Here is a 20,645-nt window from a genome sequence, read left to right as displayed (position 1 = left end):
CTGTGTGTCAGGTCAGACAGGCTGACCTTGAGATCTCTCAGGTTAAGGTGGAGACTCACAGAGCTACCTCCTAGTCCCATCCAGGCCCCCAGAGAGTCCTGGGGCACAGGAAGCTGGTCTGGTCAGCCTGGGTCCGGGGTTGGGCTCCATGTGGGTCATTCATAACCGAGGTTGGGGGCACTTACTGGCATGCAGCCCACATCCTTCACCTTGGGAGCTCTTGGTCACCTGTCCACATCAGCACAGGCTGGGGAGCCGAAGTGCCTGTCTTCATAAAGATGGTAGCAGGTCCCAGGGAGGGGCCTGCCCACGGTCCCTCAGGGAGAGGGAGGGGGCTCTCTGCCCTCCAACTGCCAGCCTGGTGCCCAGCATCTGCAGGGAGGATGTGGGCCTGGGTGGGTGGGGACGGGAGATGAGGAAACCTCAGCCAGGCAGAGTCAGCGGATTACTTCCACCCTTTCTCATCTTCATGCCTAGACAGAGGAAGTGAACTCCTAAATTCCCCTCTCCGAAATACTGGAGCAGAGATTTAGGATTTAAAGTCCTCATCTCCCTCCCAGGTGGGTGAGGCTGCTGGGTCGCATGCTTGCCAAATGGTTCCACAGCTGGCTTTTTGGTTCTCTGTAGAGGTGAGAAGAAACTGTACATGTTCTTCATCTTCCTCTGGGACCCAGGATCCTGCCCAGTGGGAAGGGCCTGAGCAGGAGGCAGGAGAAAGGAGTAGCCGGGGATGCTGAGCCGTCTGCGGCTGGCTTACTGAGCGAGCACAGGGAAGCCACTTCCCTCATTCGCCTGTATGGGAGGGCAGGTGTTGTGCTTGGTTAATTTACATCTATACAGTCTACATGTTGCTTAAGGAGAGGGGATACATTCTGAGAAATGCATCATTAGGCGATTTGGTTGTCGTATGAACGTCATAGAGTGTACTCACACAAACCTAGTTGGGATAGCCTGCTACACACCTGGGCCAGCTGGGCTAGCCTGTTGCTCCTGGGCTGCAAACCTGTACAGCATGTTTCTGTGCTGAATACTGTAGGCAGTTATAATGCAATGGCGAGTGCTTACATACCTAAACATAGACAAGGCACAGTAAAAATGCGGTATAAAAAAAGCATAGCCAGGTGTGGTGGCTCACACCTGTAACCCCAGCACTTTGGGAGGTTGACGCAGGAGAATCACTTGAGCCTAGGAGTTTTACCCAGGTGGAGACCAGTCTGGACAACATGGCGAAAGCCCATCTGTACAATAATAATAATAATAATTTTAAAATCGCTGGGCATGTGGCTCACATCTGTAATCCCAGCAGTTTGGGAGGCTGAGGCGGGTGGATCATGAGGTCAAGAGATTGAGACCATCCTGACCAACATGGTGAAACCCCTTCTCTACTAAAAATACCAAAAATAATTAGCTGGGCATGGTGGCACGCGCCTGTAGTCCTAGCTACTCTGAAGACTGAGGCAGGAGAATGGCGTGAATCTGGGAGGCAGAGCTTGCAGTGAGCCGAGATTGCACCACTGCACCCCAGCCTGGGCAACAGAACAAGACTCTGTCTAAAAAAAAAAAGAAAAAAAGCTAGGGCCGGGCACGGTCGCTCACGCCTGTAATCCCAGCACTTTGGGAGGCCAAGGCGGGCAGATCACAAGGTCAGGAGATCGAGACCATTCTGGCTAACATAGTGAAACCCCGTCTGTAGTAAAAATACAAAAAAAAAAAAAAAAAAAAAAATTAGCCAGGCGTGGTGGCGGGCACCTGTAGTCCCAGCTACTTGGGAGGCTGAGGCAGGAGAATGGTGTGAATCTGGGAGGCGGAGCTTGCAGTGAGCCAAGATCACGCCACTGCACTCCAGCCTGGGCGACAGAGCGAGACTCTGTCTCAAAAAATAAAAAAAAAAAAAGCTGGGCATGGTGGTGTGTGCCTGTAGTCCTAGCTACTCAGCTACTCAAGAGGCTGTGAGGAGGGAGGATCACTTGATCCCAGGAGTTGAAGGCTACAGTGAGTTATGATCATGCCACTGCACTCCAGCCTGGGTGACAGAGCAAGACTCTGTCTCTCAATTAATTAATTATAAAAACAGTACACCCACCAGGCGTGGTGGCTCACGCCTGTGATCCCAACACTTTGGGAGGCCGAGGTGGGCAGATCACAAGGTCAGGAGTTTGAGACTAGCCTGGTCAACATGGTGAAACCCCACCTCTACTAAAAATACAAAAATTAGCCAGGCATGGTGGTGCACGCCTATAATCCTAGCTACTCGGGAGGCTGAGGCAGGACAATTGCTTGAACCCAGAAGGTGGAGGTTGCAGTGAGCTGAGATCGCACCACTGCACTCCCGCCTGGGGGACAGAGCGAGACTCCATCTCGGAAACAAAACAAAACAAAATAAAAAATACCCAAATAGGACATTTACCATGAATAAAGCTTGCAAGACTAGAAGTTGCTCGGGGTGAGTCAGTGAGTGAGTGTGAGTGAATGTGAAGGCTTAGGACGTTACCGTACATTACTGTAGACTTGATAAACACTGTATACTTAGGCTACACTAAATTTACTAAAAATATTTTTCTTTCTTCAATGATAAATGAACCTTCACTTACTATAACGTTTTACTTTGTAAACTTTTATTTTTTTAATTTTTAAATCTTTTGTATTAACACTCAGCTTAAAACACATTGTACAGCTAAACAAAAATATTTTCTTTATATCCTTACTGCATAAGCTTTTTTCTATTTTAAAATTAAATTTTTTACAACTTTTTAAACATTTTTGTTAAAAAAACTAAGACCAAGCCGGGCACAGTGAGTCATGCCTGTAATCCTAGCACTTTGGGAGGCCAAGGCAGAAGGACTACATGAGCCCAGGAATTCGAGACCAGCATGGGCAACATGGCAAGACCCTGTCTCTACAAAAAATAAAAATTAGCTGGGTGTAGTGGTACGCACCTGTGCTCCCAGCTACTCAGGAGGTGGGAGTGGGAGGATTGCTTGGGCTCAGGAGGTCAAGGCTGCAGTGAACTGTGTTTACGCCACTGCACTCTAGCCTGGGCAACAGAGCAAGACCCTGTCTCAAAAAACAAAAACAAAAACCCACCAAAACTATGACCAACACGCACACACTAACACACTAGCCTAGGTCTATACAAGGTTGGATCATCCAGACATCACTAGACGCCAGGAACCTTTGAGCTCTATTATAATCTTGCAGGACCACCATCATATATGTGGTTCATCATTGATGCAAATGTTATGCGGTGCATGACTGTATATTCAACGCATGCTCTTGTTATCCCTATTTTACCCAGGTGGACATGAAGCACAGAGAGGTGAAGTGCCTTGCCCAGTGTCACACAGCTGGGCAGTGCGGAACCAGAATTCCAAAAGAAGGTTAGGAGTCCCCACAGGAGCCTGGGGAGTTTCCTTGGGCAAAGAGACAATTTAGCTGAACCCTGAGGGATGGGAGATTTTGCAAGATCCCTTGCAATCCCAGCTGTCTGCGTCGGTGGCCGGGTGTCTGCTGCTGGTGGCAACGGATGTGTGGGCGGGCACGCGAGGCCTGGCCCTGGCTCCTTCCTGACCCAGGGCTGGCAGGGTGGGTGTGTTGGGCAATGGCCGCGGTTTGCATCTCACTTTCCCAGGCAAGCCCCGGCACTGGGGTTCCAGAGCCAGGCTGCCTCTTATGGGGTACCCAGAGCTGCCTTCCCGGGGGTTGGTCATGGTGCCATGTGGATGTGTGTGCTGCATGGGTGACTGTGCCGCAGGGGTGTCTGCAAGCTGCACGGGTGTGTGTACTGCATGGGTGCATGCTGCTTGGGTGTGTGTGGGCAGCATTGCCTTTGCAGTGAGTGCAGACCTCTGTGTATACGTCTCTACAGATGAGTCTGTTTTGGCAGGAAGGTGCACATGTATGTGAGACAGTTTACCCACATGTAGAAGTGACGTTGTGTCCTGGTGTGGGTGTGTACTTGGACCTCTATTGGAGGTCAGGCTGTCTGTGGGTGTACATGTATCTGCTTACATAAGAACACTGGCTCTCTTTCTGCATGTGTGCCTGCCTGCATGTATATGGCTGTATGTGTCTGTGCGTCTGTGTATGTGTGTACACATGTGAGTGTTGGGGGGGGTCTATGTTTCTGCAAGTCTGTTTTTCTATGTGTCAGGGCTGGTTTTGTATGTTTTTGAGAGTATGCGTGCATGGAGGCATCTTCCATGTTTTTTTTTGTTTTGTTTTTTGAGACAGGTCTCACTCTGTCACCCAGGCTGGAATGCAGTAGCACGATCTCGGCTCACTGCAACCTCTGCCTCCCAGGCTCAGCCGCTTCTCCTGCCTCAGCCTCCCAAGTAGCTGGGATTACAGGCGTGCGCCACCACGCCCGGCTAATTTTTGTATTTTCAGTCAAGTTAGTCACCATGTTAATCAGGCTGGTCTCAAACTCCTGACCTCAGGTGATCCACACTTGGCCTCCCAAAGTGCTAAGATTACAGGCATGAGCCACAGCGCCCAGCCGTCTTTCACGTTTTTGTGTTCACACATGTGCCTATGTGTACCCTCTTGTCTACTTCTCTACCCTGAACCCACATGCCCTCAGGCCTCCCTGCCTCTCCCTGATCAGGGGACATTTGCTACTGCACTGCCACCTCCCCCAGTGCTGGTTCCAGTGCCCAGCTCTCAGAAGGCCCAGCTCCCATGCAGTCACCAGTACCCTCCACCTTCCATCTTCCTGCCCTGGCTCCCTCAGCCTTGGCCTCTCCAGTTTCCCTCCTACCCGCTCCCTCCTCTCCTTCTCTGTCCCCTTCTTCTGTCTGCAGCCAGAAGCACGACTGCCCCTCCTTTCTGCCCACTGTGCCCAGAGCTGCTCAGCCTGGACTCTGCTCAGCCAGCCTGCCCTGACACAGAGCCCCCCCACCCTGCTGGCTCTCCAGCCCAGTGCTCCTCCCCAGTCGGCACCCCATGCTTTCCAGGGACCGGATTCAGCCACGGATGTCCTCTCCTCTGTTGCTGTCTTAGACTCCCCGCTGGCCTCCCTGCCTCAGTCTCAATCCTAGTGTGTCCTCTCCCTCCCTGATCACAGCCCCCTGCTCACGAGACCTGCCTTTGAGACCTCCCAGCCTGCACCAGCTTTCCGGTTGGCGCCTCCCCATGCTTGTTCTCTCCCAAAGAGGAAAGCCTTCCCAGCTGCCATCAGGCAGTGTCCTAAGCCAGCATGCCTCGGCCTTTGCAACTTAAGTGAGGCTTTTCTGTGTCTAAGAATAAGAGCTCTTAGATAAGTGCACAATAGGCAATAAAACAGGAAGAGCCAGGGGAGGCCCTTGGACTTTCTCCTGCCCCCTTGACGTCTGACTCACTGTCTTCCAGCCCCCTTGGCTTTCCTGGGGTGGTTGTGTTTTTCAGCTCTGCCTTAAAAATTTTTTTTAATTGCAATGAGCTTCACATAATATATAAAACCAGCCATTTTAAAAATGACTAATTGGGCTGGGTGCCATGCCTGTAATCCCAGCGCTTTGGAAGGCTGAGGTGGGCGGATCACTTGCGCTCAGGAGTTTGAGACCAGCCTGGGCAACATGGCAAAACCCCATCTCTACTAAAAGCTAGCCGGGCCTGTTGGCACGTGCCTGTAGTCCCAGCTGCAGGGGGTGGCTTGAGGTGACTTCAGCCCAGGAGATGGAGGTTGCAGTGAGCTGAGATCATGCCATTGCACTCCAGCCTGGGCAAAGGAGCCAGACCTTATCTCCAAAAAAAAAAAAAAAAGAAAAAGAAAAAAGAAAAAAAAAAAAACAAATTCAGGAATTCGGGGCCCTTTCGTACATTCACAATGTTGCACAACTGTCTAGTTCTGAAACATCTTCATGAATCCAAAAAGAAACCCCACGTTCATTAATAGCCACTCCCCATTCCTCCCTCCCCCGGCCCCTGGCGACCACCAGTCTGCATTCTGTCTCTATGGATTTGCCTATGGTGGATATTTCTTGCAATGGAATTGTGTAATAGGTGACATTTTGCATCTAGATTCTTTGGTTCAGCATAACGTCTTTGGGGTTCATCCACGTTGCAGTGTGTTTTAGTGCTTCACTCTTTTTTATGGCTGAATAATAGTCCATGGTTTGCGTAGACCACATTTTGTTTCTTTTCTCTTTTTTTTGAGATAGAGTTTCACTCTTGTCGCCCAGGCTGGAGTGCAATGGCGCCATCTTGGCTCATTGCAACCTCCACCTCCCGGTTCAAGAGATTCTCTTGCCTTAGCCTCCTGAGTAGCTGGGACTACAGGCGCCCGCCACCACGCCCGGCTAATTTTTGTATTTTTAGTAGAGATGGCGTTTCACCATGTTGGCCAGGCTGATTTTGAACTCCTGACCTCAGGTGATCCACCTGCCTCAGCCCCCCAAAGTGCTGGGATTACAGGCATGAGCCACCGTGCCCGGCTGTATTATCTGTTAAAGGACATTTGGGTTGTTTTCACCTTTCGGTTACTAAGCTCTGCCTTCTTGACTGTGGAGGCGCCCAGCACTTGTGTTTAATGACACATTGTTCTGCCTTCCTTCTGTATATGCTTGTTCTGTGGACAGAGTGACCTGGCCCTGGCCAGTCACCCTCTATCACCCATTGAATGGCCACCAGCAGGCCCTTGGATGGAGCAAGCGCTGATGGCCTTCTCTCCCCTCAGAACTACCGGATTTGTTTCTCTTTTTCGTATCAGAATAAACACCCTGAGTTTCCTTGGTGTCTCTCCGAGAATAAGACGGGGAGGAAAGCTACCCTTGCACAGCGCCTGTCCCAGGGCACTTCCTCCAGGTGGTGATCCACATCCCTGGGAGCCCCACCTCTTTGTCCCAGACTTCCCCTTGGGATCAGGGCTGTCATTTGTAGACAGCCCCACTGGGACCCTGGCCGCTTCCCACCATCTTCTGCAGTTGCCTCTTTGTTGGGCAAAGACTCTGAGGTTTTGCAGCACTTGCTGTGCCCGTGCAGCTGGCACCAACAGAACGTTCTGAGTCTGACCAACTTCCTCCCTGTCCTCCGTGCCTCCTGCCTCTATCTTCATGCTTGTGTGGGACGAAGGACTCCCAGCTCCAAGTGCCAGAAAACCAGCACAGCTAGCAAAGAGGGGACCTGTGTCTTGTCCCGTGTGGCTGGGACACACCACGTGTATGTCCCTGGCTTCAACAGGGATCAGGGCTCAGGGAGACCCCTCAGCCTCCCTGGCTGCGCCGGGCACATTCTTGTCCACTCTGCAGGACCCCACACCTCTGCCTGTGAGGCTGGGGAAGGTGGTTTTCCATAGCGGCAGATTAGTGATATCCCAGCCATGTGACAGAGGTATGCTTCCTGAGTCTGACGTCATTCCAGGGAAGGATTCTGATTGGTGCTGTTCAGGACACAGGTGCATTGCTACACCACAAAAGCGAGGGTGAGTCAGGTGCTCCCTTCTGTGGCCTGGGTTGAGAAATGGGTGGTCCATCAGTGGGTTTTCCAGACCCTTCCATGTGCCGGGTGTTGGCCCTTGTATGCACATGTGTGAGCGTGTGCGTTTACTCACCCTTCAAAACCTGGCTATAAAAAGACATTCGGTGCAGATTCATTTGACCGGAAGCCTTTTCCTTCTCTCTGATTTATCCTCCACATCTAGCCTGTGCCCAGCACACACAGTGGGTACTTAAATATAGGTCAAATGACAGACTGAGAACCCACTGTGATTTGTCTGTTTTTGCAAAAGGTAGGACTGCCCCCTTCCACGAAGACCAATCTCTTTCTATGAGACCATCAGGTGCCACTCATGTGGAATTCATTCTGAAGTGAACCCTTTAAAAGAAGCACCAGTGGCTTTTTCTTTTTTAGTCAATTTTCCGGGAAAGTGCTGAAATCTGCAGTGAGTGAAAGAGCAGATTTTGATTTCCCTTTAAAAAAATTATCATAAAAGAGAAACTCAGCGTCTTTGAAATTGAAGCTTCCCAGAAACAAAATCACATGCTCTGATGGACTGTGATTGATAGAGTTCTGATTCTTCGGGAGAGGGGACCGGGAGAATGCATGGAAAAGGGCCTGAGAGACTTGTTCCTGCCCACAGCGAGATGGCCCTGCACTTCCAGAGGCCTGGCTCTGGGTTCACCAGATGTGGGACAGGGACGCCTCTGGGTCCTGCAGCCTGGGAGCCACAGCTCACCTTTCCCCAGGCTTCTAAAGATGGCTGCAGCTATATGGCTGTGCATTCATCGGTTCACCAAGAATGTATGGAGAGCCTATTACATTCTGGGGGCTTTGCTGTGCTCTGGAGAGGCAATGGGGGTGGGGGCCACAACCACAGTATACACCCTCTGAGAGTTTCCAGTCTGGCTGGAGAGACAACCTCATAGTTTTAAAAATGTACACCTCTGAAGAGCGTGGTGTGGAGGGATACGTGGTACTCTGGGAGGGTGCCAGGAGGCGGGTTGGGACCAGCCTGGGGTGAGGAAGGTCAGGGAGGTCTTCCCTGAAAAGGTGCAGCGTGGACTGGACGTTGATATCTAGGTGGCAGGTCACAGGTAGAGTGCTCAGGAAGTGGGAACGGCATGTGCAAAGGCCCTGAGGTGAGAGCTGCTCCCGGAAGGACTGAGGAAGGCCAGAGAAAGGCAGGCAAAAGAAAGGTACTAGTGAGGCTGGGAGGTGGGCAGGACCTGGTGGCTGTGGTAATGACTTTGGCCTTATCAGAATGGCAATGGGAAGACAGGGACTGTTTAAGCAGAAGGACTCGACCCGGCTGTGTGGTATGAGCCCCTCCCTAGGGGCCGCAAAAGCAACAAAGCCTAGTGGGATGCCATCACCCCTCACTCCTCATCTTCCTCCCTGTCAGACTTCCAGCCACACCTGCCATTCTCTGAACTAGGCCTGTGCCGTCCTGCGCCCTGGCTGGCCTCCCACTGTGACAGGGAACCTCCTCCCTCTCCTGGCTCCTTCCCCAAGCTGTTGTTTTTGCTTTCCTCAAGCCACTTGGCAACATCAGTTCTGGACAACCCATTGGGCATGCGGGTCGATCTGGTGGCTCTAGGAGGGTGCCTGGGCTCCAGTGTGCCTTTGCTCCCTCCCAGGTCTCTGCCTCTCAGGCCTCAGCTTCACCATCTGCAGGACAAAATAATGATACTTGCCTCCTAAAGTGGTTACAAGGATTCAATGCTTAGGACTGGGACCAGTACGCAGAGGTTGCTCCAGAAATATTCCCGATAATGATGACTGGTACCCCATTCACCCAAACATTTTTGGCCAGACTCTGACGTTTCAAAATAGGCATGGTATGTTGTCATCACGAGAAAAGTCAGACTAGACTTCCTTATCTTTGTTTGATGCTGAGGGTAGTTTTTAGTTAGCATAGTATTTTAGTGCTTAGAGCCGCTAAGGGGCTCTGCCTGGCTCTGTAGGGTTCTGGGCATTCTGTGGTCATCTCACATGTCCCCTCATCTCAGGACAGGATCCTGGACTCAAAGAGAGCAGCAGCGGGGGTTTCCAGGCCAGCCAGAGAGTGGGCAGTGGTGGGGCCTTGTCTGAGGATCTTTGGATTCGGTTGCCATGAGGCAGACAGTTGGAGGTTACTGCACAGAACGGGGTTCCTTCTCCTACACCTGTGGGTGGACACTCCAGGTCCCAGAAGAACTCCGTGGAGGTTGCAAGCCAAGGGATCCCCCCTCCCATCCCAATGTGACCTCGATGACCTTCTGGGGAGGGTGCTTGGTGGCTCCTTGTTCACCCTGGGGTTTATGTAACACCGCCTTTCCCAATCTCCCTCAAAGCCACCGTGTGACATAAGCAAATGCCTGCCTTCGTCTGCCCTGGCGGCTGGCGGGTAAGTGTGACCGAGCACCTGCTCCAATGTGCCAGGCGCTCACGTACTCACCTCACTGCATTTTGCTGACTGTCCTACAAGGTGCATTTGCTACTGCATTTTAAAACATTCAGATACAACTCACCTACCAGCAATTGTATCATTTTAAAGTGTATGATTTGGGGGTTTTGGGTATATTCACATGGTTGTGCAACCATCGCCACTATGTAATTCCAGAATATCTTCATCACCTCCAAAGAAACCTCGTGCCCATTAGCAGTCTCTCCCCAGCCCTGGATGCCCCAGCCCCCAGCAGCCACTGGTGTATTCTCTGTGTCTCTCCATGTGCCTATTCCCGACATTTCCCATAGCAGAATCATACAACATGTGGCCTTTTGTGTCTGGCTTCTTTCATGCAGCATCATGGTTTCAAGGTTCATGCATGTTGTGGCACATGGCAATGCTTCCTTCCGTTTTGTGACTTAATATTCCTTTGTATGGATAGAACACATTTTGTTTATCCATTTTCTATTGACAGACATTTGGGTTGCTTCCACTTTTTGGCTATGCCGAATAATTGCTCCTATGAACATTTGCAAGTTTTTGTGTGGATGTACGTTTCCTTCCTTCCTCCCTCTCTCCCACTCTCTCTTTCTCTCTTTCTTATTTTTTTTGGCGTTTCGCTCTTGTTGCCAGGCTAGAGAGCAAAGGCGCGATCTCAGCTCACTGCAGCTTCCACCTCCCAGATTCAAGTGATTCTCCTGCCTCAGTCTCCTGAGTAGCTAGGATTACAGGCGTGCGCCACCATGCCCAGCTAATTTTTGTATCTTTAGTAGAGATGGAGTTTCACCATGTTGGCCAGGCTGGTCTTGAACTCCCGACCTCAGGTGATCCACCTGCCTTGGCTTCCCAAAGTGCTGGGATTAAAGGTGTGAACCACCGTGCTCAGCCTCTTTTTTTTTTTTGTCCAGAGACAGAGTCTCACTCTGTCACTCAGGCTGGAGTGCAGTGGTATGAATATGGCTCACTGCAGCCTTGACCTCGCAGGCTCAAGTGATCTTTCGGTCTCAGCTTCCTGAGTAGCTGGGACCACACAGGTGCAAGCCACCATGCTCAGCTAATTTTTAAATGTTTTGTAGAGATGGGGTCTCACTTTTTTGGCCAGGCTGGTCTTGAACTCCTGGGCTCAAGTGATCCTCCCATCTTGGCCTCCCAAAGTGCTGGGATTACAGGTCTGACCACTGCACCTGGCCTATGTTTTCAATTCTCTTGGGTGTATATCTAGGAGTGGAATTGTTGGTTATATGATATCTCTATTTATTTTTTTTTTTTTTGAGACAGTGTCTCACTCTGTCACCCAGACTGGAGGGTAGTGGCACAATCTTGGCTCACTGCAACCTCCGCCTCCCAGGTTCAAGCAATTCTCCTGCCTCAGTCTCCCGAGTAGCTGGGACTACCGGCGAGTGCTACCATGCCTGCGTAATTTTTTGTACTTTTAGTAGAGTTGGAGTTTCACTACGTTGGCCAGGCTGGTCTCAAACTCCTGGCCTCAAGTGATCTGCCGGCCTCAGCCTCCCAAAGTGCTGGGATTACAGGCGTGAGCCACTGCCTCTGGCCTCTGTGTTTAACCATTTGCGGAACTGCCAAACTGTTTTCCAATTTGGTGGCACCATTCATTGTAGATTCCCACCAGCAATGCCCCAGGGTTCTCATCTCTCCATCTCCTCGTTAGCACTTGTAATTGTCTACCTTTGATTATAGCCACCCTAGTGAATGTGGAATGGCTTCTCATGGTGGTTTTGATTTGCATTTCCCTGGTGTTTAGCATCTTTTCACGTGCTTCTTGGCCATTTGTATATCTTCTTTTTTTTGGAGAAATGTCTATTAAAATCCTTTGCCCATTTTTAAATTGGATTGCTTGTCTTTTTCATTGTTGTTCAGTTGTCATTGCAGTTTAAAAAGAGGAAACTGAGGCTCAGAAGGGGGACATGACTGGTCCAGGGACACTGGGCTCACAGGCAGATTGAGATGGAACTTGGGTTGGTCTCCACCTCCCACCCAGCAGATTGGGGGCCACCTTCTCTCCCCCCACCAGAGCACCTCTCCCCAGCCTCCAGTTTCGACCTGGCCCTGCCAGGCCATCTCAGGTCCTATCCTTGCATTTAAAGGCGTAGGGCCCCACAGCAGAGGGTAAGCCGGAAAGCGAGGAAGCAGCAGTTCTGAGGAACCAAGCTGGTCCTCTCTTCCTCTCCAAATCACGCGGGCCTGGCTGACGTGGCCCGGGAAGAGGGGACAGCCCGGGTCCTGTGGTCGGGGAGCCTATTTATACTGGCTGGGCCATGTTGCAAGCTTTTCCTGCTGGTGAGAGGGACGTCACTGATTGCTGACCTCACCAGAAACGCTGACGCATCTTTCCTCACGCTTGGCTGGGATGGTCAGCGGCCAGGCCTCCTCACCTCCGAGCCACTCCCTGTCCTCCTGTGTATCACTTCACTCTGGATGCTCCGACAGTGGCCCCAGCCCCTGTGCCCTCCAGCTATGCCTTCCTCTTGCAGGCTGCATGGACTGAATGGTGTCTTCCCTGAACTCATGTGTTGAAGTCCTAACCATCGTGTGTCAGAACGTGACTGTATTTGGAAGTTGAGCCTTTAAAGAAGTAATTAAGGGCCGGGTGCGGTAGCTCACGCCTGTAATCCCAGCACTTTGGGAGGCCATGGCAGGCAGATCACTTGAGGCCAGGAGTTCGAGACCAGCCTGGCCTACATGGTGAAACCCCGTCTCTACTAAAAAAATACAAAAATTAGCCAGGCATGGTGGTGGGCACTTGTAGTCCCAGCTACTCGGGAGGCTGAGGCAGAGAATTGCTTGAACCTGGGAGGCAGAGGTTGCAGTGAGCCAAGCTGGCGCCACTGCACTCCAGCGTGGGTGACAGAGTGAGATTCCATCTCAAAAAAAAAAAAAAAAGAAAAGAAAAAAAAAAAGAAGTAATTAAGGTAAAATTGGCCAGGTGTGGTAGCACATACCTGTAATCCCAGCTACTCTGGAGGCTGAGGCAGGAGGCTCGCTTAAGGCCGGGAGTTCAAGGCTGCAGTGAGCTATGAAAGCACCACTGTACACTTAAGCCTGGGCAACACAGCAAGACTTTGTCTCGAAAAAGAAAAAAAAAAGGAATAATTAAGGTAAAATGTGAGTGGGCCCTAATCCAATGTGAATGGTGTCCTCATAAGAAGAGATAAGGCCAAGCGCGGTGGCTCGCTCCTGTAATCCCAGCACTTTGGGAGGCTGAGGCAGGTGGATCACCTGAGGTTAGGAGTTCGAGATCAGCCTGGACAACATGGCGAAACCCTGTCTCTACTAAAAATACAAAAATTAGCCTGGCGTGGTGGCACACGCCTGTAATCCCAGCTACTCAGGAGGCTAAGGCAGGAGAAGCGCTTGAACCCAGGTGGCAGAGGTTGTAGTGAGCTGAGATCGTGCCACTGCACTCCAGCCTGGGTGACGGAGCTAGACTCTGTCTCAAAAAAAAAAAAAAATCGATTAGGCCACGGACAAGCAGAAGGAACATGATGTGGAGATACGGGGAGAGACAGTCATCTACAAGTCAAGGAGAGAGGCCTTGGGAACCAGCCCTTGATTTCAGACTTCAGCCTCTAGAACTGTGAGAAAATAAATCTCTGTTACGTAAGCCCCCCAGTCTGTGGTACTTTGTTATGGGAGTCCTAGCAATGTAATCTACCTGCTCTCCTTACCTTCAGTGACTCTGAGCCCTGGGCCCTGTGCCTGACACCCTCATTAACTATGTGCAAAGAGTATGGTCTTTGGGCCTCGTTTGAATGCCTTCTTTTCTTGGTGGGTTTTTTGTTTTTTGTTTTTTTTAAACAGGGCCTTGCTCTGTCACCCAGGCTGGAGTCCTGTGGCATGATAATGGCTCACTGCAGCCTCAACCTTCGGGGCTCGAGCGATCCTCCTGCCTCAACCTCCCTAGTAGCTGGGACTTCAGGTATGCACTACGATGTCTGGATAATTTATTTTTACATTTTCTGTAAAGACACAGTCTCGAAGTCCTGGGCTCAAATGACCCTCCTGCCTCGGCCTCCCAAAGTGCTGGGATTACAGGCGTGAGCCACCATGCCTGGCCAAATGCCCCTCTCCTCTTAACTATTCATAGGTGACCTCAGACAAAGCAACCTCCTCTCTCTGCCATGAGGAGACAGCACGGCCTCCCTGGACCACAGGATAGATAGAATAAGATAAAGGCATGTGGCTGTTTCTCACCAAGCGTGGTGGTCGGTCAGCCACAGCTGAAAATGGCCTAGACCCCTCTGCTCAGATCTGGCGCTCCTTCCTTGAGCCAGCCCCTAAACTTCCCAGAGCTTCGAGCTCCTCACTGAAGTGAGCTGAGGTGTCACTGCCCAGCGGCTTCTCTCCCCTGGCTGTTGCAGGATGAGATCGGTGGCTGGGTGCTGTGGCTCACGCTTGCAATCCCAGCACTTTGGGAGGCCAAGGCAGGAGGATCATTTGAACCCAGGAGTTTGTTATCAGCCTGGGCAACATAGTGACACCCCGTCTCTACAAAAAATAAAAAAATTAGCTGGGCATAGTGATGCATGCCTGTGGTCTCAGCTACTCAGGAGACTAAGGCGGGGAGCCTTGCTTCAGCTTAGGAGCTGGAGGCCACAGTGAGCTACCTACAATGGCGCCACTGCACTCCAGCCTGGGTGACAGAGCAAGATCCTGCATTTAAAAAAAGAGAAAAAAAGACGAGATCAGGGATGTGAAATGGAGAAGGATCCCCTCTTGGCATGGCCCCAGGAAACAGCATTGTGGGGGTGGGCACAGAGATGAGGACTTCAGCGGAAGCGACATTCTCAGGATGAGAATCCAGAACTGGCCCCTGGGGGTGGTGAGGGGGAGGTATGAGGCCTGGTGTGGTGAGTCCCAGCCTGGGTGCCGGGGAGTGGGTAGGGGCTGAAGAGCAGCCTCCTGGGCGTGGGGTCGCCTATTTTTGCCTACTACGTGATCCTCAGACCTGGGAGTGGCTGGTGCAGCATGGAGCCAAATAAAGGTTTGTCGAATGAATAAATGAGTGATGGGGAGAATGGGTGGCAACTGCCTTGGTGGCCACAGTGGGCATCGGGAGCAGGCATGGACAGGGGTGCATCCAACCTCCTCCTTTCTGGCTGCCCCAGCTCTCCTTGCTCAGGCGCCCCAGACCCCATGCTCCCTCCAGCTGGAGCAGCTCAGGCCTCCCTGGCAGCCTCCAGGAGTCCCACCCTGACTCCCCAGACTCCTGAGGGCCTCCTCCCACCCGGGCTTCTTAGGGTGCAGGCCAAGGACCCTCCTCTGGGCCTGGGAGATGTGCTGACCAGGCAGGGTCTATAGGCCTGGGCCAGCCTCTTGGCCTCCCTGTCTGCCTTCACCCAGGCCTCAGTTTACCCCACAGTAAAGTAGCAGTTTGACTAGGGAGGCGCTGTTCCCAGGGCCCTTTCGCAGAGGACCAACCTAAGATCGCTATCTTTCAGAGAAAGTGAAACCTGGTCCCCAACTGTCAAGGCGGCAACTCCCCCTCCCCGGCTTCCCCTCTGAGCTCACAGCTTCCCCATCTCCTCCTTCCCCCATCCCGCCCCCTCGACAGCTAATACTTGGAATCAGACCTTCATCTTTGCTTTTTCCTTCAGAGGTCTTTTCCTTTTATGTCCATGCTGGCAGCAACCCTGTGAGGTGGGCTGGGAAAGGCTTTTCTCCTCCTCATTTTATAGTTGTGGGTCTCTGAGGCCCAGAGAGGTTAAGTGACTTGCCTCAGGTCACACAGCACCTCAGCAGGCTTGAACCCTGGCCTCCTGTTTCTCTTGCTCCAAGTGTCCAGTTCTCCCCAGTGGAGCCTGCCTACAAAGACAAGGCCTGGCTTTGGGGAGTGGGCCTGGCAGAGGGTGCACGATGGGGGAAAGGAGACCGTCGGGAGCCGGGCTGGGGGATGCTGGTCCTGGGGCCTGAACCACAATCTCGGGGCTGCCAGCCTGCGTCTGGCTCTGTGCCCAGAGCCCGGTGGTTTCCGCTCACAGATGTCCCAACAGCCCCGGCGAGAGGGCAGGAAGGGCACTCAAGAAGGAAGATGTCTCGCTCCCCTCAGCCCCCAACCACCGTGTCCTGTGAGGCCAATGGCTCCTGGGCCAAGACTGGCCTGGGGCCTCCAGAGGCCCAGCTCGAAGTCCCTCCTGCCCATCCCTGGCCCAGTTCCCTGAAGATGGCATGGACCCTTTTCCTCCCCACTCACCCTAGGAAGGCTGAGGCTGCGGTTTTACATCATCCTTGGGCGTAGGGCTGACCTCGAAGAACGAATTCGAAGAAAACAGGAGGAGGAGCGGGCATACACCGCGCCCTGCGCCCATTGGCCGCCCGTGGAAATTTTGGTTTTTGGGGTCATGTTCCCAGAAGGCCTGCCCTCCCCCCTCCCCATCCCCACCCACCTCATGAGGTGTTGGCCAATCGCCCCAGCGGGCATAAAGTGGCTGCCAGCCTGCAGGGCTCCCAGCCGAGAGGTGTCACCCCCAGCGGGCGCGGGCCGGAGCACGGGCACCCAGCATGGGGGTACTGCTCACACAGAGGACGCTGCTCAGTAAGTACTTCCTTCCTCCCCGCCAGAACCCGCCTGCTGGGTCTGCCCACGGGTGCCGGTGGGGAGCAGAGGCACCCTCTGCCCTCCGGGAACTGGGGAGGCCAGGCGCCAGGCAGAAGGATGCTGAGAAGGGGAGAGAGCCAGGAGGTCAGGCAGAGAGAGTGGTCCACTGAGAACCTGGCATCTCCACAGGTAGAGAAGGGGCATCCCTGGAAGGCTTCCAGGGGGAGGTGATGTCAAGATGTAGAGGCAACTCTGGGAACCAGGGGGTGAGAGAATAGGATGGGCAAAGAGGCTGGGCAGGAGAGGGAGGCTCAGAAGCTGGGCAGGGAAGTGGTGTGAGGTGTGGAGGGGTTGTGGGGCCTCCAGCTTGCCCGGGATGAATAGAAAGTCAGCCAGGCCTGGGGGCCCCAGGGCCCACACAATCACACAGCATGCACAGCCACACCCACATGGCCACATGCGCACACAGCCATATGACGTCATCTACAGCCCTGGATCTCACCAGCCCAGGAACCCCCACATGCAGACCAGAGTCCCCATGGTGAACGGAACAGGTCTCCCTCACGCCGCACACAGACCCAGATGCACAGCCACACAGAAACCCCAGTCCCACGTGCGCTGCCACAGGCACAGGCCCCTGCCAGAGCCCGGCAGCAGATACCTGGGGAGGCGGCGAGGGTGCCGTGGGGTCGCTAAGCCTGGGTGCCTGGCCCCTTGGCCCTCCCCAACAGCCAGTCTTCCCCAAAGGGCCGGATGGTTCTTAGGACGGGAACGATGGTGTCACTGCCTTCCGGGCCATTGCGCCATAGGCCCCTTCCGACCACGTGGCTGCCGGTGCCCCGTTGGGGGTGGTGGTGAGCGGTAACTGTACCCGCCCCCAACACCTTCTGACAGGCTCACAGCATCCCTGGTGGGCCTGACAGAAGGAGCCACTTATGGAGAGAGGAGGGAGGCAAGAGAGGTCAGGGGAGAGCCCTGGCCTTGTGTGACCTGAGTAGGACCTTCTCCTGAGACTTGGTTTACCTGTCAGGAAAGTGGGGACATGGACTGGAAGGTCTTCCACATCTGTTCCAGGCTGCACCTCTGGTTGAAAAGGCAGCCTCTCCTGGTTCTAGACAGAGCTGAGGACACAAGCTGCTCCCGGGCTGCCTGCCCTGAAGCCCTCTCAGGCCCATCTACCTGGATGGCCAGAGCAGCTGACAAGGCAGGTCCTAGGGCAGTGGCCGGTCTTTAGCCCAGTGGTCTTGCAGGGAGCCAGTCCCACCTTGCAGAGAGTCAGCTCCCGAGGTTAGAACCGTGCTGTAGGCAGGACTGGGATCCGGCCAGGCACTGCAGCCTTTGCTCAAAGACCTACTTGGTAAATCGCAGCCACTGTCTCAGTCCCTCCCACTGCTTGCTGTGTCAGGCCCTGGGCAGTGACTTACTGGGGAGATGATGGTGGCCTTGGTGGGCACACCTGGGCACACACCGTGCCACACAGTGCCCAGCCCCCGCCCTCCACTACACAAAGTCTGGGATGAAGGAGGCACCTTTCAAGGCCCTCTTGAACCCCCTCCCCGAGGCTCCCATCTGTGGCTTTCCTCACCAAGTCAGGTGACACCCCTCTTCTCTGCCTTAGGTCTGGTCCTTGCACTCCTGTTTCCAAGCATGGCGAGCATGGCGGCTATAGGCAGCTGCTCGAAAGAGTACCGCGTGCTCCTTGGCCAGCTCCAGAAGCAGACAGATCTCATGCAGGACACCAGCAGACTCCTGGACCCCTATGTAAGCACCTGGGCCCTTGTGGCATCTGAGTCTCAGAGAACTATGGGGTTAGGAAGGGAGTGAGAAGCAGGGAGGACAGGCCTAGCCCCACTCCATATGGCCAGGTCGGGGAACTGAGTCGCTATGTTATTCCAGCCTTAACCCTGAGGAGCTAAGGCTGGCCCTCCAGCTTTCCTAGCTCTGTGGTCCCGGGGCGGGACTCCGGACACCATCACCATGCTCACCTGCTTACTCAGTGTGTTTCCTGCACACCTGCCAGGCTCTGGTCTAGGCACTGGGACGTAGCAGTGAGCAAGACAGAGTCCAGCCCTCTTGAAGCTCTTCATTCCCCACGGGCATCCCACCAGCCCCCCAACATCACTCCGACCTTGCCTGCAGTGATCTTGGGGTCCTCTTCCCTCTCGGGCCTCAGTTTCCGGATCTGTCCAGTGGGAGATTGGATTGGGGTGCATGAGGTCTAGCATTTCAAGGCTTACTTGTCTGTGAGTGTGGTCCGGATCCTCAGCATTCACCCTGTGATCCTCCTGTTCCCGCCAGATACGTATCCAAGGCCTGGATGTTCCTAAACTGAGAGAGCACTGCAGGGAGCGCCCCGGGGCCTTCCCCAGTGAGGAGACCCTGAGGGGGCTGGGCAGGCGGGGCTTCCTGCAGACCCTCAATGCCACACTGGGCTGCGTCCTGCACAGACTGGCCGACTTAGAGCAGCGCCTCCCCAAGGCCCAGGATTTGGAGAGGTCTGGGCTGAACATCGAGGACTTGGAGAAGCTGCAGATGGCGAGGCCGAACATCCTCGGGCTCAGGAACAACATCTACTGCATGGCCCAGCTGCTGGACAACTCAGACACGGCTGAGCCCACGAAGGCTGGCCGGGGGGCCTCTCAGCCGCCCACCCCCACCCCTGCCTCGGATGCTTTTCAGCGCAAGCTGGAGGGCTGCAGGTTCCTGCATGGCTACCATCGCTTCATGCACTCAGTGGGGCGGGTCTTCAGCAAGTGGGGGGAGAGCCCGAACCGGAGCCGGAGACACAGCCCCCACCAGGCCCTGAGGAAGGGGGTGCGCAGGACCAGACCCTCCAGGAAAGGCAAGAGACTCATGACCAGGGGACAGCTGCCCCGGTAGCCTCGAGAGCACCCCTTGCCGGTGAAGGATGCGGCAGGTGCTCTGTGGATGAGAGGAACCATCGCAGGATGACAGCTCCCGGGTCCCCAAACCTGTTCCCCTCTGCTACTAGCCACTGAGAAGTGCACTTTAAGAGGTGGGAGCTGGGCAGACCCCTCTACCTCCTCCAGGCTGGGAGACAGAGTCAGGCTGTTGCGCTCCCACCTCAGCCCCAAGTTCCCCAGGCCCAGTGGGGTGGCCGGGCGGGCCACGCGGGACCGACTTTCCATTGATTCAGGGGTCTGATGACACAGGCTGACTCATGGCCGGGCTGACTGCCCCCCTGCCTTGCTCCCCGAGGCCTGCCGGTCCTTCCCTCTCATGACTTGCAGGGCCGTTGCCCCCAGACTTCCTCCTTTCCGTGTTTCTGAAGGGGAGGTCACAGCCTGAGCTGGCCTCCTATGCCTCATCATGTCCCAAACCAGACACCTGGATGTCTGGGTGACCTCACTTTAGGCAGCTGTAACAGCGGCAGGGTGTCCCAGGAGCCCTGATCCGGGGGTCCAGGGAATGGAGCTCAGGTCCCAGGCCAGCCCCGAAGTCGCCACGTGGCCTGGGGCAGGTCACTTTACCTCTGTGGACCTGTTTTCTCTTTGTGAAGCTAGGGAGTTAGAGGCTGTACAAGGCCCCCACTGCCTGTCGGTTGCTTGGATTCCCTGACGTAAGGTGGATATTAAAAATCTGTAAATCAGGACAGGTGGTGCAAATGGCGCTGGGAGGTGTACACGGAGGTCTCTGTAAAAGCAGACCCACCTCCCAGCGCCGGGAAGCCCGTCTTGGGTCCTCGCTGCTGGCTGCTCCCCCTGGTGGTGGATCCTGGAATTTTCTCACGCAGGAGCCATTGCTCTCCTAGAGGGGGTCTCAGAAACTGCGAGGCCAGTTCCTTGGAGGGACATGACTAATTTATCGATTTTTATCAATTTTTATCAGTTTTATATTTATAAGCCTTATTTATGATGTATATTTAATGTTAATATTGTGCAAACTTATATTTAAAACTTGCCTGGTTTCTAAACCCTCTGTGTCTCACGGTTGTCTTGGAAAGGATTTGGGGTGGTGGAAGGGCAGCCTCTTAGAGAGAGGAGGGACCTTGGTGGCAAGGCCAAAAGCGTCCATGCTCTGGGGATGGGCTGGAGGTCCTTGCTCTGCCTAGGAAGGGAAGTCACATGCCCCAGCCGCCGGGGGCTGTGACTGTGGTGGGGTGGGGTGTCAAACTCAGATGAGGCATTGGTTATGGCCAAATGGGGCTCCCTTGACACATTGGGGATGAGGGGTGTCAAGACGTGGCAGCAAGAGGGGAGGAAGAAAGGCTTGAGTGTGTGGGCTGCT

The 20,645-nt window shown here is 53.9% G+C and overlaps 1 protein-coding gene across 3 annotated transcripts, besides 7 other annotated features; it reads left to right on the top strand.

Moving 5' to 3' along the window:
* Positions 4,416-4,944: an enhancer, noted in NCBI's record as "H3K4me1 hESC enhancer chr22:30674205-30674733 (GRCh37/hg19 assembly coordinates)". NCBI's record gives its function as "activates a minimal SCP1, AML or CMV promoter by ChIP-STARR-seq in primed H9 embryonic stem cells {active_cell/tissue: H9 hESC(primed)}" and the evidence as "EXISTENCE:reporter gene assay evidence [ECO:0000049][PMID:30033119]".
* Positions 4,945-5,473: an enhancer, noted in NCBI's record as "H3K4me1 hESC enhancer chr22:30673676-30674204 (GRCh37/hg19 assembly coordinates)". NCBI's record gives its function as "activates a minimal SCP1, AML or CMV promoter by ChIP-STARR-seq in primed H9 embryonic stem cells {active_cell/tissue: H9 hESC(primed)}" and the evidence as "EXISTENCE:reporter gene assay evidence [ECO:0000049][PMID:30033119]".
* Positions 6,345-6,934: an enhancer, noted in NCBI's record as "H3K27ac-H3K4me1 hESC enhancer chr22:30672215-30672804 (GRCh37/hg19 assembly coordinates)". NCBI's record gives its function as "activates a minimal SCP1, AML or CMV promoter by ChIP-STARR-seq in primed H9 embryonic stem cells {active_cell/tissue: H9 hESC(primed)}" and the evidence as "EXISTENCE:reporter gene assay evidence [ECO:0000049][PMID:30033119]".
* OSM (oncostatin M) lies at positions 16,309-20,331 on the top strand. Of its 3 annotated transcripts, none has more exons than NM_020530.6 (3): positions 16,309-16,394; positions 18,016-18,158; positions 18,696-20,331. In NM_020530.6, exons 1-3 carry the CDS (start codon positions 16,361-16,363, stop codon positions 19,275-19,277), a joined length of 759 nt encoding a protein of 252 aa, NP_065391.1. In that variant the 5' UTR covers positions 16,309-16,360; the 3' UTR covers positions 19,278-20,331. The 3 variants fall into 3 exon arrangements, with proteins under 3 accessions (NP_065391.1, XP_047297343.1, NP_001306037.1); XM_047441387.1 differs by having other exon boundaries at positions 16,309-17,754; NM_001319108.2 differs by lacking the exon at positions 16,309-16,394 and adding an exon at positions 16,920-17,601.
* Positions 16,906-17,005: an enhancer, noted in NCBI's record as "active region_18830". NCBI's record gives its function as "activates an Ori minimal core promoter by ATAC-STARR-seq in GM12878 lymphoblastoid cells {active_cell/tissue: GM12878}" and the evidence as "EXISTENCE:reporter gene assay evidence [ECO:0000049][PMID:35858748]".
* Positions 17,066-17,145: an enhancer, noted in NCBI's record as "active region_18829". NCBI's record gives its function as "activates an Ori minimal core promoter by ATAC-STARR-seq in GM12878 lymphoblastoid cells {active_cell/tissue: GM12878}" and the evidence as "EXISTENCE:reporter gene assay evidence [ECO:0000049][PMID:35858748]".
* Positions 18,531-19,329: an enhancer, noted in NCBI's record as "H3K4me1 hESC enhancer chr22:30659820-30660618 (GRCh37/hg19 assembly coordinates)". NCBI's record gives its function as "activates a minimal SCP1, AML or CMV promoter by ChIP-STARR-seq in primed H9 embryonic stem cells {active_cell/tissue: H9 hESC(primed)}" and the evidence as "EXISTENCE:reporter gene assay evidence [ECO:0000049][PMID:30033119]".
* Positions 19,330-20,129: an enhancer, noted in NCBI's record as "H3K4me1 hESC enhancer chr22:30659020-30659819 (GRCh37/hg19 assembly coordinates)". NCBI's record gives its function as "activates a minimal SCP1, AML or CMV promoter by ChIP-STARR-seq in naive and primed H9 embryonic stem cells {active_cell/tissue: H9 hESC(naive and primed)}" and the evidence as "EXISTENCE:reporter gene assay evidence [ECO:0000049][PMID:30033119]".
* Positions 20,332-20,645: the final 314 nt, after the last annotated feature.

Source organism: Homo sapiens, chromosome 22, assembly GCF_000001405.40.
Source record: "Homo sapiens chromosome 22, GRCh38.p14 Primary Assembly".
Lineage (NCBI taxonomy): Eukaryota > Metazoa > Chordata > Mammalia > Primates > Hominidae > Homo > Homo sapiens.
This window is presented reverse-complemented; position numbering and strand designations above follow the sequence as displayed.

Excerpts from the sequence above, each read along its gene's own strand:
- OSM (NM_020530.6), top strand. The coding sequence starts at position 16,361 with ATGGGGGTACTGCTCACACAGAGGACGCTGCTCA. Across the intron at positions 16,395-18,015 it reads CACACAGAGGACGCTGCTCA|GTCTGGTCCTTGCACTCCTG; the intron begins GTAAGTACTTCC and ends TCTCTGCCTTAG. Across the intron at positions 18,159-18,695 it reads GCAGACTCCTGGACCCCTAT|ATACGTATCCAAGGCCTGGA; the intron begins GTAAGCACCTGG and ends TGTTCCCGCCAG.